The sequence below is a fragment of the Homo sapiens genome, chromosome 11, assembly GCF_000001405.40.
Source record: "Homo sapiens chromosome 11, GRCh38.p14 Primary Assembly".
Classification (NCBI taxonomy): Eukaryota; Metazoa; Chordata; class Mammalia; order Primates; family Hominidae; genus Homo; species Homo sapiens.
In genome coordinates, this window is record NC_000011.10 from 13,403,419 (window position 1) to 13,417,657 (window position 14,239).

Sequence of the window (14,239 nt, forward strand, 5' to 3'; positions counted from 1 at the left end):
AACATGACAGGGCAGTATTCAGTATAGTTAATGTAGAAGCAAATGTCTACTTAAGTGGAAACAAGAAAAGCTTTGACAACCAATCAGAAAACCCAATCCATAGGAAGAATCTCCTTCTGAAAGAACATCATCTACACATTTATTGGAATGGGATCTGCCCCAAGTTTCAAATAAGAGAATCCAAAGAAGATATCAATATCGCATCATTATCAAGCAAAGTAAAGGACTTTGCTAAGATGTCTACAAGGCCTAGTCTAGAGGCGGAAAAACTGCCTTGTCAAAGAGTACAAAACAGATACATTTTACATTTCATGGATTGAGCAACTATTAATAATTTCCCAAAAGGCAAAGACCCTCCCCACAAACTGTTTTCCATTCAGGCGAACAGCCCCATTTAATACTGATGTTAAAAATGGCAGATTCGAGCAAGTTCTGCCTAGGTTAGTCTGTTTAGAGCAAACTGGCTTTGCAAAGGACAGACATTCCACTGACAACATGTTGAGTCTTCCAAATGTGCTGAGAACTTCAGGGAGTTAGACTGATGGACATTCCTCGCCTTCTCTCTTTCGGGTTGAGTTATCTCCCTTAAAAGGTGAACTGCAAAGGTTTTTTCAAAAAAAGAAAAACACACTCACAAACCAAACATGCTGGTTTAAGAGCCAAAAAAAAGAAAATACGTATATAAACTCTACTCATGGGGTAAATTTGTGATTATTACTACATCCTTAAGATTTACTGGTATTTGAAGATAAAGATTATTTTAGATCTTAGAAAGGACAATATCTGTCATAAAGTCACATATAGAAAAATCAGGCCGAAAGGCTATCTCTAGCTCCTCAAATGAATCTTCTTTATGTTGGATCATCTTGATACAAAATAATACATATTTAGACCACTAAGTAAAAATGTTTTCAGGCCTTTTAAGCTTTAAGATAAAAAACAAGAAAACAAAAATATTGAAGTGAAAAGTTCAACAATGGAAAAGAAAACACCAGGTTTATTATCATTCCTTTATCACTATAATATCATTTCTATCTTCTATGGTTGACTGTACCTTCTTGGGGTCAAACCTTTTGAAAAGTAAAATGTAAGTTATAAGCTTGTTCACTCCTTTTCCTTAACAGAAAATAATTTAGTATACCTCTTTTATTTTTGACAACCTTTCACTTTTCTTGGGTTTTGTTCAACTTTTTATTCCACATATTATAGAAAACCATTGTCAGCAAAGAGCCTAGAACTGAGGAAATAGCAACAGAAATGTCTATTACTACAACTATCCACAAAGGAATCACAACACTCATTTAAGTACATCATGCAAAAGAAATATCTCAATGCAAACTCTGTAAAGTGCTACCATAACTTGTGTTAAAATAATCTTTCAAAAATCTCCTTCGGAAGTTAAAAAGAATGCCATCTGGAGTCTGCTTTGTTTTGATTTTAGAAAAGCATATGTAAAATGGAAAAATCAGAGATAAGGTGTTTTGGTACTTTCTATATTAAACCCTAATCCTTACCAAGTCAACAGACTATATAGTACAGAAGAAGATGCTAGGCTATTTTATTCAATTCCTTGAGTCATTCTTTTTCAATTCTTCCTTATTTATAAAACTGGTCAGAAATACTAATATTGGGCTCATCAAGAAAAAATAACAAAAAAATAAGAAAAAATGTCAGTGATTGTTGCTCAAGATAGGCCATTTTGGTTAGAAATGCCCAAAAGAACTATAATTCTACAAAGCCTTATGAAGGGTCATTGTATCCTTGATGAACATACATGATATTTTAAAAAAGGGTACCTTACAACTTAAAGTTATCCTCAAAATCAATGAGTTAAAGCTTCCAAATTTACGTAAAAAAACTCATTTTTTAAACAAGCTATTTTCATAAAGGAAGTAGTTCTCCTGAATGCTTTTAAATACAAAGAAAAAAAATCTATCAAGTTCCAGAGAGTCAACAAATAACTAACCATGTGTATATGGCATGGGCGGGGCATATTCTTCTGTACAGGGACATATAATAAATACTTTGGGCATTGCGAGCCATGCAGTTTCTGTTACAACTACTCAACTCTGCCACTGTAGCATGAAAGCAGCCATAGGCAATACATAAAACTTAATTTATAAAAATAGGTGATGGGCTGGATTGACCCCCAGGCTGGTCTATGAGAAGAGCTCTTCTTTACATAAACAAGAAATAATTCGTGATGATTCAGGGGAGAGAAAACATGCCAGAGTACGTACTTTGTGAATATTCTTCTCCCATCTGTGGTGGATATTCTTCATCCCAATCAACCACATCATCATCTGTAAGCACCACTATATGACATTCCCGTTCCCCACTCTGGGCACTAGCTACCATGAGAGGGAGGATCATTTCTTCCAGATAAAATTCAAATTGTCTACGAGCACCATCATTTGATAACTCATGCATTAGGGCACCTGAAATGAAATCCACAAAAATATCTTACCAAAACTTTTCCTAAAAAGAGTTCTTTTAGAAATATAGACTCTTATAACAAGAAAGGCCAGGCAGCCTACATAGGCCCCCTCATTTTACACATCATGAAATAACTTGCCTAATATTACAAAACTAATTTGCAAAGTCAGAATTAAAACCCTATCCCTAGCCTAGCGTATTTTTCACTATACCATATTATCTTCCATCAGTATACACAATATGTCTTAAGGTATATCTTAAAGATACTTTTCAGGTTATCCACATAAACTGAAATAGTTCTTATATTCCATTTCCTGCATGCTCTCCTTCTCCAAAAGTTATAAACAGAATTAATATTTCAGTGCAGGTTGAGAGGTGAGCTGAAAAGGGTCAATAGTCTTTAGAATAATGCAGGCAAAAGATCAAGCAAAATACAACATGATGCAGGAATTCCACAGCAAACTTGATACTAGAAGTGAGAGAGCTGAAAGAGACTTCAACCTCCTTAAGCACAGACATAATGAACAACTTCAATTTCCTAAATGCACAGCCACAAACTCACCTGCACTGCTTTTTTCTTTTATTTCTATTTAATGGCAATGTCCTATCTCCCTACTGAAGATGCCAACATCTCAAGAACTACTGCTACTGCATCAGCCTGGAGAGCGAAGTTAAAGAAGCAACCATGGCAACCATACGCATGAGTGAGAGAGAGAGAGAGAGAGAGAGAGAGAAACAGAGAGTGAGCCAGAGAGAGAGACAGTGTGTGTGTGTGTGTGTGTGTGTTTGTGTGTGTGTGTTGTAAAAACTGGAGAACTGGAGAAGGGGTGAAGGAAGACGCTAGAACTCATAACCTACAGTCTCCCAAGGGAGAGCTTTTCCTCCCTACAAGATGTCTCTATAATTATATATTATATAATAAACACTATATAATTAACATATTACAATTAATATAATTGATTAGATAATTAAATAATCTACATTAATATTACTTAGCCATGTCTCTCTCCAGGCTGGCTATTTCCCATTATCATTTTAAAAAGTTATCTTTATAGACAATTACCTATATTTCAACACCTTCTCTCTCCCCAACTTCTGAACCAATTCCAATCTGGCTTCCATTCTCACTATACTACAAAAATGTCTTGCTATGGTCTCCAAATAGCCTTTATATTGTTAAAGACAATAACCATCTTTTGGTCCTGATCTTATTTGACCTCTCAGTTTAATCTCCTACAATGGAACACTCTTTCTTGAAACATACTCACCCCTAAGAATCTCTGATACCATTATCCCTGTTTTTTTCCTCCCACTGGCTATTCTTCCTCAGTAACCTTTGCCAACTCTTTCTCCTCCAGCTGTTCATTAAATACTGGTATTTCTCAGGACAATTTTAAGTTCTTTTCTTCTTTATCCTATGCTGAGAATTCCCAAATTTATTTCTACTAATTCAGTCTTCTGTATTCGAGATGCATTATATTCAGCTGCTTTCTGGAAATTTCCACTTGGATGTAACTTCAGAGGTACGTCAAACTCAATACATCCAAAATTTAACTTACCGTCTCTAACTCTCTCCACGGTATTTTTCAAATCAGTAAATGGCATCACTATCCACTCAAGTTTTCAGAACTATCTCAGCACAGTGCTGGGCATATAATGGGAACTTAAATGTTAGTATACTAAATGAATAAATCCTGGATTTCTCCTTTACCACCTAATTCAAATAATTCCCCAAGTCTTCTTAAACACACCTTGAATTGTGTTATTTCCTTCTTTTGGCACAAAGATAGCTGCAAAATCTCCTAAGCCACATACTTTTCTGCAAGGTGACCTTGACATCTCTTCCCAAAAAGTGGAGTCTAGCTCCCCTCCCCTTTAATTAGACTGGTAATACAAACTTGTTTGTAACCAGAGGAGCATGGCTGAGGAGACAGCACATGACTTTGGAGGCTAAGTCAAAAGAAGCCTTGCAATTTCTGCCTTGGTTTCTGGAATGCTTTTTCTTCAAATGCTTCCTTTCTGAATGCAGCCTCCAGGATTTGAGAAGTTCAAGTCATACGGAGAGAGCACACATAGGTATTCTGTTTGACATTCCTAGCTGAGTCCAGCCTTTCAGTCATCCCAGTCCTGGCACCAGACATGTGAATAAAGCCTCCAGCCTTGTGAGCCACCCCAGCCCATCAATTCTTCACAGATGAGGCCTCAGATATTGTGATACAGCCATAAGCCACCTCTGCTGTGCCCTGTATAAATTCCTGACCCACAGAATAAATGAGAGTAATAAAATGGTTATAGTTTATGCTAAGCTTGGGGTGGCTTATTACACAGCAATAGTTAACCCGACATATTCCATCCTCTTGCCTCCATCCTGGTTCTGTTCATCATTAACTCTCACCCAAATTACTACAAAATCTTTCTGATTACATTCCCCCAACATCTGCTTTTGCCTCTCTGCAATTCATTTTCCCCACAGCAGCCAAATCTAATTGTCTCTCATGACTTGTACTATCCTTAAAATAAATCCTCAACTTGGTACATAAAGCCCTGCTATGTGAAAAAGAATGTTATAGATCAGTGTCTAGAATCAATCCTTTAATACACTTTGTTTAAATATTATCCATATACTGATGACTCCCACTTATATCTAACCCACATTTCTCTGCTGAACTTTAGACATGTATACCCAATGCTCCACTTAACATTTCTACTTGGATATCTAACAGGTATTTCAAACTTAACGTGTTCAAAATCAAGCTTTTAGATTTTTGCTCCTCATGAAGTCTCCCCCATCTCAATTAATGGCAACCTCACACTTCTGGTTAAAGCTCTCCTCTTCTTTCCACTCCACATTCAATTGAAGAGGAAATTCTGGTAATCTGAACATCCCATATACCCAGAATCTGACTACTTCTTAATGCTTCCACTCTAATCCAAGCCCCTACCATCTCATACCTGGACTTTGACAGTGGCTTCCTAATTGATCTATTTGCTTCTAGCACAATTCCCCTTTTGGTCCATTTTTAACACAACAGCCAAAAGTGATTCTTTTAAACCTTAAGTCAGGTCAGGATTATAGCACTGAACAACTCTACACTGACTTCTGTGTGAACAGGGCCCCCATGAAATGGTACAATGTGACAGCCTTACAGATCATATCACTCTTTTGTTCAAACCCGTCCCATATCTTCCAATCTCACTCAGAGTAAAAGCCAAAACATAAAGGCCTTATTTGACCTAGGTGCCTTGTTACCTCTCCGACCACATTTCCCATTACTGACACTCTCACTCACTCCACTCCAACTATCCTGGCCTCTCTGCTGCTCTCAAATATACCAGACAAGCTCCTTCATTGTGTGCATTCACTAGCAACCTCTGCTTGGAATTTAACATTTTTATTTCCAATGAAAGTTTCTCTGGCTCCTCTAAGTAACTTCTTCACTTTTTTCTCCTTGGCACTTATCACTAACATAGCATATATGATTTATTTACTTTGTTTATCACGTTTTTCCCAATAGAGTGTACATTCCATTAGAACAGAAAGTTATGCCTGGTTTGTTCATACTGAATCCCCAAAACTTAGAACAGTGCTTAGTACAGAGTAGAGTCATTAAATATTTGTTTAATTCATAAATTTTGTTTCCTCTTTACCTCTCAGGCCTTATTCCTCACCACTCATATTCCATCCCTCTGCTCTAGCAACATTTGCCTTTTTTTGAGTACCCTAAATATGTCACATTCCTTCCCACTTAAACCTCTGCACACATCATTTCTACTGCTTCTATGGTCAGCTTTCCCTCACTCTTTGCCACTCCTTCAGGTCTCGGCTTTAACGGCACTTAGATAATGATTCTCCACAGACCCTTTGTCATACACTTCTAATAATATCTCATTTCTTCACTGCATTTTTCACAGCTTTTATTACTTGTTAAATGTCTGTCCTCCCAACCAGACTATAAACTCCATAAAGGCAGGGACAATGTCTGTCTTTATTCATCACTATATGTACTATATGCATGAAACTCATAAAAAGCTTGATTAAGAAGGAAGAGGGGACGAAAGGACAAGTTAAATGGTAAACTAGAAATGAATAGTTGATCAGGACACAGAGGCACAAGAATGATACAGTGGACTCTGGGAAGTCGGTGAGGAAGGCTGGGAGGAAGTGAGGGATAAAAGACTACATACTGAGTACAGTGTACGCTGTCCAGGTGATAAGTGCACAAAAATCTCAGAAATAACCACTAAAAACTTATCCATATAACCCAAAACCACCTGTATCCCAAAAACAACTGAAATAAAATTTAAAAAAAATTAAAGTTGACACTTAGAAATTAAAGATAAAAAGGTAGAAATCCCCAGTGTAAAGATAATATTTGAAGCCACAGTGATGAATAGCACCACTTAGAATAAGTGCAGATTCTGTGAGAGAGAAAGTAGCTAACAGTGGAGAACAACCACATTCCAAGGATCAGGAAAAAGGATGCCAAAAAGCCAAAGGAAGGGAGAGTCAAGAAAAAATGAGTAACATCGTAATTAAGCCTAAAAGAAATGTCTTTATTTTTCTTAAGACAGGGTCTTGCTATGTTGCCTAGGATGATTTCGAACCCCTGGGCTCAAGTGCTCCTCCCACCTCAGCCTCTCAAAGTGCTGGGAATATAGACATGAGCCCCACGTCCAGGGAAATGCCTTTAAAGACAGAGATGCCAGAATTCCCATTAAACTTAACATTGTTCAAAATCTTCTAGCCAATTTGACAGGACAAAAAAAAGATATAAAAAGTGTTATTTATAACATAGTCAATTAACTGTGAGGCATATATTAGGATCAACTAAAAAATTATTAGAAACAAACAGGGCTCTATGAGGTGGCTAAATGTACAAAATTCAGTAACTTTATTATAAGTTAGCACTTAGAAAAGTTAAACATATTCTACACACAGCAATAATAAAAACACAAAATATTAACAAGACCAGAGCAGAAACTATATGAAGAAAATGATAAAACTCTACCTAAAGACACAAAAGTGTGAATAAATGGGAAGACACAGCATTTGGAGCTATATGTTAATTCTTCTAAAAAGTTAACTTCAAAGGATTCCAATGAAAAGCTCAAGTTTTTTTTAAAGAGAATGTTTTTGAACGTCTAGAATAGACATAAGTCAGATTTGAGTATGTTTGAGACTGAGGTTTACTACATAGAGAAAGGGAAAGACTGATGATACCAGAGAGGACAACCAGTGGAAGAGGGTCCTAAAAACGCACAAGGGAATACAATAATTTATTAGTTCAGCAAACATTTTGTTGAGTCCTTAGGATGTGCCACACACTATAGACACAAAGTCAAAAAGATACAGTCTCTGTCCTCAAGTCCAAACTAGTTTAATGCCACAAACTGAAAAAGAGTGCCTCAACCAGAGAGAGAGAACATGCAAGCAAATTGTATAATTTCTTCTTAAATTAAGATATAAGCCCAGATATTTTAGTGCAAAGTGCCATTCCAAATATTCAGCAAAGGCATATATTTGCAAGAAAAAAAATTTACTTTTGGATTAAAGTCTACCTACATTTTTACAAGACCACTTCCATCTCTTCAAATTCTATATAGTTTTTTTTTAAAACGTCTTTGAGAATCTCTAAATTTTTAGTAACATATATTACAAGTAATCTAGAAACAACTACAAATATTACTGAAAAGCTAAAAGTCTAGGATAATCATGTTACACATATTTTACATAAAACCCTTACTTTTAATCTGTAACAAATAAAAGATACTTAGTAGTAATGACAAGGTAAACTACGCACAACAAAAGATTGCAGAACTAAGAGATTCACATCATCTGTAAAAAATTCTAGTTTTTTTCTATCTCTGCCAGTCACCAAAATTCAACATTAATTATATAAAGATTAATTTAAATGGTCGTATGAATAGACACAAAACTTGAAATCAGGGATCTATAATGCTCATGGTTTCAACTAAAACTTTTTTTTTTTTTTTGAGATGGAGTTTCACTCTTGTTGCCCATGCTGGAGTGCGATGGCGCAATCTCGGCTCACCACAACCTCCACCTCCCGTGTTCAAGCAATTCTCCTGCCTCAGCCTCCCGAGTAGCTGGAATTACAGGCATGCACCACCACGCCTGGCTAATTTTGTATTTTTAGTAGAGAAGAGGTTTCTCCATGTTGGTCAGGCTGGTCTCGAACTCCCGACCTCAGGTGATCCGACCGCCTCTGCCTCCCAAAGTGCTGAGATTACAGGTGTGAGCCACTGCACCCAGCCCCTAAAATCATTTTTTTAAGATGTGAAAAAACAGCAACTCTGGCCAGGCACAGTGGCTCACACCTGTAATCCCAGCACTTTGGGAGACCGACGCAGGTGCATCATCTGAGCTCAGGAGTTCAAGACCAACCTGGCCAACATAGTGAAACCCTGTCTCTATTAAAACAAAAAAATTAGCCAGGTGTGGTGATGGGTGCCTGTAACCCCAGCTACTGGGGAGGCTAAGGCAGGAGAATCCCTTGAACTCAGGAAGCAGAGGTTGCAGTGAGCTGAGATTGCACCACTGCACTCCAGCCTGGGTGACACAGCGAGACTCCATCTCAAAAACAACAACAACAACAACAACAAAAACCCAGCAACGTTGTTCAAATGTACAGTTGTATGTTCTGGCTGTCTAACAATCTATTGGACAATCTATTGGATCTACTGTATTTCCAAAGTATACCTACTACATCTTTACTCCAGAAACCTCAGCTCTGAGAATTTTTTGTATTACCATGTAGGATGATATCCTGGGCACTATGGAAGATATAAATAATTCCCCAAAACAATACTATCTACTCTTTGTAAATCATTTAGTTCATTCTTTACTACGTATTTCCACTGAACTCTTCCACGATCCTTAGCCCACAATGACTTCCCCTTCCTCTGAACTTCTCCAACCACTTAAGTGTTGGCTTAAGTACCTAAGTCAACATTTGATACTTCTCATACACTATTTTGACTTTTTTGTGCATAATCACATCTTTTCTCAGGGTTGGGAGAAACAATGGGAGTAGGGGTGCTGAAGAAGTAACAATGGGAGTAGGGGTGCTGAAGAAGTAGTGAGAGAAGAATACCAATCAAAGAGTTGGGATTAAAACCTTCTACACACTGCTTTGAGACAATATTTGAAGTTCTTGGATGAAGTCATTTAATCCTATGTATACATGAGGGCTAGACATTCAATCTAGGATCTTTAATGATAGGTATTGTTTTTGAGAATTATTTGTGTTTTCCATAGTGCTCATATTATCACACGTGGTAATACAAAAAATTATAAATTTTTGGATGATGTAATCAAAGAAATGCAGCCAAATGACCACACTTGACCAAAGCCAAGGATCCAAATCTAGGAGATAAAACTGGTAACAAATAAATAATATAGAAAACTGTCTAGGAGGAAATCTGGGTTTGTCAAAAAAGAAAATTATTAAAATTGAAAAAATATTTGGAAAATTGCACAAGGAGATCATCAAGGTCTTTGCAAGCTTTCATTAATAATCTTTGTGGTACTAGAATGCTTTATAATTGAATTAAATACTTTAAGTCTAACTAGGTAAATAGCACTAATTTCAGGCTTTTTGTTCCAATATATTCTAATTCTACAAACCACTTACACACAAAACATCATACTTACTGAGATCTCTACATTTAATAGTGCTATATTCAAAAGAGATACAAAGATAGTCACATGCTTCTCTCAGTTCAGGAATAGATATGCCATCAGGACAACGGATTATTCCTGTTTTATAGTAATCCTGGAAAAAGAAAAGTAAAGAAAGCATAAAATATCTGGAGCATAAGGTAGCCAAAACTTATTATTAAGGAAGGGCTGGTAACATTTTCAGAAACAGTAGAGAACTCTGACATCTCTGAAATGTGGAAGTTTAAACTTAGATGAGACCTCCGTTCACCTAACTACTTTTTCATTTTACCTATAAGGAAAATTCAGGTCCAAATGAATTCACCGACTTAGCCTGTCATAAAATTATTTAAAAGCAAAGGTAAGATTTGAATATAGGGCTCCCTGTTACCTAATTCATGTCTTCTTTATGACATCACACCAATGCATATGTATTTTCCTTCTACAAGTTATATTTCTACGAAACCATCATAAAGTTTTAAACATTTTTTTAAAAAGTAAGGAAATTGAATGATATGTTATCTTAAATACTACCTAGATAATTTAACAAAATGTGAGGTTTTTAGTACAGAATTATAGTCATATTCAAGTATTAAAATATGTAAAATAAGACATACCATTAGATATTCTTCTTTTAATACTACCCTTTGGTGATTCCATATTATGACAAGCAATATTAATTATTTCCAAAATCCACTTAGTAAGTTGTTAAAGGACAACCCCAGAATCACAGATAAGTTACTTCAGAGATGAGTGATAAAAATTCTTTTCAATTCCACAAGGGGAAATATGGACAGCTAAAAAAACACTTTTTCCCCAAAATTAAGACCTGGCTCAGCCAGGTACCATGACTCACGCCTATAATCTCAGAACTTTGGGAGGCCGAGGTAGACAGATCACCTGAGGTCAGAAGTTCAAGACCAGCCTGGCTAACACGGTGAAACCTTCTCTACTAAGAATACAAAAAAATTAGCCGGGTGTGGTGGCAGGCACCTGTAGTCCCAGCTACTCGGGAGGCTGAGGCAGGAGAATGGCATGAACCTGGGAGGCGGAGCTTGCAGTGAGCCGAGATCGCGCCACTGCACTCCAGCCTGGGCGACAGAGCAAGACTCCATCTCAAAATAAAAATAATAAAAAAAAAAAAGAATACAAAAATTAGCCAGGCGTGGTGGTGCACACCTGTAATCCTAGCTACTCAAGAGGCTAAGGCAGGAGAATCACTTGAACTCAGGAGGCAGAGGTTGCAGTGAGCCGAGATCACACCACTCCACTCCAGCCTGGGCGACGGAGCGAGCCTCCATCTCAAACGAAAAAAAAAAAAAAAAAAAAAGAAAAGACCTGTCTCAAGTTTTCCTGAGGTTCCGAACCAAAGTAACCAGTAACACAATTTCTAAGGTTGCTGCATCAATGGAAGTGAAACATCTTCTGGTACTTGTATGAATACTCACCTGATCAAGATCAACTATTTTCCCTATCTGTCTTCCATCACAGCATCCTCCCTTCCCTCAAACTATTTAAGAAAATGGTATTTTCAGGCTGTGGCACAAACGGTCACAAACTATCAATCAAACCTTTTTTTTTTTTTTTTTTTTTTCTGACACAGGGTCTCACTTTGTTACCTAGGCTGGAGTGCAATGGTGTGATCTCAGCTCACTGCAACCTTCGCCTCCTGGCTCAAAAGATCTTCCCACCTCAGCCTCCCAAGTGTTGGAGGCCAAAAGAATGAGGGTGGTGACCAACTCAGTATACCACTGGAGGCTATATGAGCAAACAGCAAACTGTTCTCATGAAAGCAGATTGTTGGCAAACTGACAAACTGCATCTGCCGCCTAAAACGAATGCTGAGGGCAGTCATGCCCCAGGCGCAGTGTTTCTTGTGATTATCTACAGGCACAACTGAAGCCTGTTAGCAATCATGTGAACCTGTGACAAATCAAGCAGCTGACCAACAGCACCTCCTCCCTGCTCCTTCTCCCCAGTAAATACAAAGGGCTGTGGAAGCTCAAGGCCTTTGCTCACTAGAAGCAAGGAGCCCCCTGCCCCTTCTTTTTTTTTTTAGACATATATAACAAAGTTTATTTACTCAGTTTCTTTCTTGACCACTATATTTAATCACACTTTGTACTTTTATAGAATGTTACGTAGTTTGTAAATTATCTAAATATTTTCTTTTATCTTGTCTTTGTTTTCATTTCTGCATTTGTCCCCCTTCATTCAATCCTGTAGTAACTGTCACATCCCAAGTACCTGGAACTACAAGTATGCCACTACACCTAGCTAATTTTTGGAAATATTCTTTTGGTAGAGATGGGGTTTTGCCATGTTGCCCAGGCTGGTCTTGAACTCCTGGACTCAAGCCATCCACCTGCCTTGGTCTCTTAGCGTGCTGGGATTATAGGCATGAACCACCACACCCAGCCTTATGAACCAAAATCGCTGAATTTAAATTACAAGTAGGGACTCTGTGTGATAAAATATTTTTCAAAAAAAAAAACAGTTAAAACCTCAAAAAAAAGTTTTAAAACAAAGACGTCAGCTGGGCACAGTGGCTCACACCTGTAATTCTAGCACTTTGGGAGGCCAAGGCAGGAGGACTGCTTGAGCTCAGGAGTTCAAGATCAGCCTGGGCAACATGGCGAAACCTCATCTCTACTAAAAATACAAAAAAATTAGCTGGGCGTGGTGGCACACACCTATGGTCCCAGCTACTAGGGAGGCTGAGGTGGGATGATCACTTAAACCCAGAAGGTCAAGGCTGCAGTTAGCCGTGATCACACTACTGCACTGCAGCCTTGGCAACACAGTGAGACCCTGTCTGGGGCAAAAAACAACAACAACAACAAAAAAAACCCAATAAAAAACTAAAGATGTTAACAAATACATTTTGGAGATGACTTTTAGATGTTTCTAAGTTTCCACACTGCTAGTTATGTGCAATAAAATAATAGAATCAAGTAGTCATATTCATTCTCAGATAGTAAAAATGATCGATTTACTGTATTTAGGAGAAAGAGAAGTAAATATGACTCCAGAAATGTTACTAAATACCTAATATATGCAAACCTAAGAGATTAATAATCCCCTATCCTATCATCCTGAAGGTCATAAAATTCATTTGCTTATATTGTATTATTTGTATGTACTAAAATAAAGATGAGAGCATGGCATGGTGGCTCAATGCCTATAATCCCAGCACTTTGGGAGGCCGAGGCAGGAGGATCGCTTGAGCCCTGGAGTTCGAGAACAGCCTAGGTAACACTGTGAGACCTCGTCTCTATAAAAAATGAAAACAAAAAAAATTAGCCAGGCATAGTGGTGCATGCCTGTAGTCCCAACTACTCAGGAGGTGTGTGGCAGGAGGATTGCTTGAGCCCGGGAGGTTGAGGCTGCAGTGAGCTATGATTGTGCCACTGCACTCCATCCAGCCTGGGTGAAAGAGCAAGACCCTGTTGCAAAATAAAAATATAAACAAAATAAAATAAAGATGAATTAAATGGTATTTAAGGAAAAACAATACCCTGGAATAACTCCAGAGAGATATTCAAATAGAATTCTGCGTCTAATCCAAGTACCTCCAAGAAGGCGTCTTATGATTAAGTCAATACTCATAAGAAACACTCACCAGAATCGCTCGAAACACAGTGGAACCAATTCCCTCTGCCACCTCATACTCTCCTTTCTCATTGGGTCGTGTAAAGTTATGTTCTCGGCCAGATCCAAACATCCTATGATAGTAAATAATTGAGAAATACGTCAATAGAATACTTCCTTCAAAAGGGAAAATAGATTTCATGTACAAAAGAAAAAAGGAATTATATCATTAAATTTAGTTCAAGAATTTTTATCATTAATTTATTCTGGCAAACATCATAAAAGAAAGAATATTAAAAACATTTTCTTTTTGATGGTAGGGAACACTAGTATAGATTTCCTGTAAGCAACAATAAAATAAACGACAAAATTCAGAAGCTAAAGAGCTTTCCTACCCCTTCTCAGAAAACAACACCAACCAATTAGTCTAGGGAAAAAGATGAGTTTTTAATACCAATTTTACCAGGAAGAAAAAAAAAGGGAAACCAGGTTATCTGTGCTTTTTCCTTAAAACTGCTATTTTCATTGTAC

The 14,239-nt window shown here is 37.4% G+C and overlaps 1 protein-coding gene across 15 annotated transcripts in view; it reads right to left on the minus strand.

The window, feature by feature from the left end:
• Positions 1 to 14,239, minus strand: part of BTBD10 (BTB domain containing 10) — a 75,215-nt gene that overhangs the window by 15,411 nt on the left and 45,565 nt on the right. For 6 of the 15 annotated variants that reach the window (XM_017018410.2, XM_024448712.2, XM_017018409.2 and 3 more), the window contains 4 exons: positions 13,740 to 13,842; positions 10,112 to 10,232; positions 2,241 to 2,438; positions 493 to 597 (listed from right to left, as the gene is read on the minus strand). In XM_017018410.2, coding sequence (XP_016873899.1) covers positions 493 to 597; positions 2,241 to 2,438; positions 10,112 to 10,232; positions 13,740 to 13,842 — 527 coding nt within the window. Of the gene's footprint in view, positions 1 to 492; positions 598 to 1,141; positions 1,238 to 2,240; positions 2,439 to 10,111; positions 10,233 to 13,739; positions 13,843 to 14,239 lie in introns of all 15 variants that reach the window. The other 9 variants (XM_024448713.2, NM_001297741.2, NM_032320.7 and 6 more) reach the window with 2 other exon arrangements.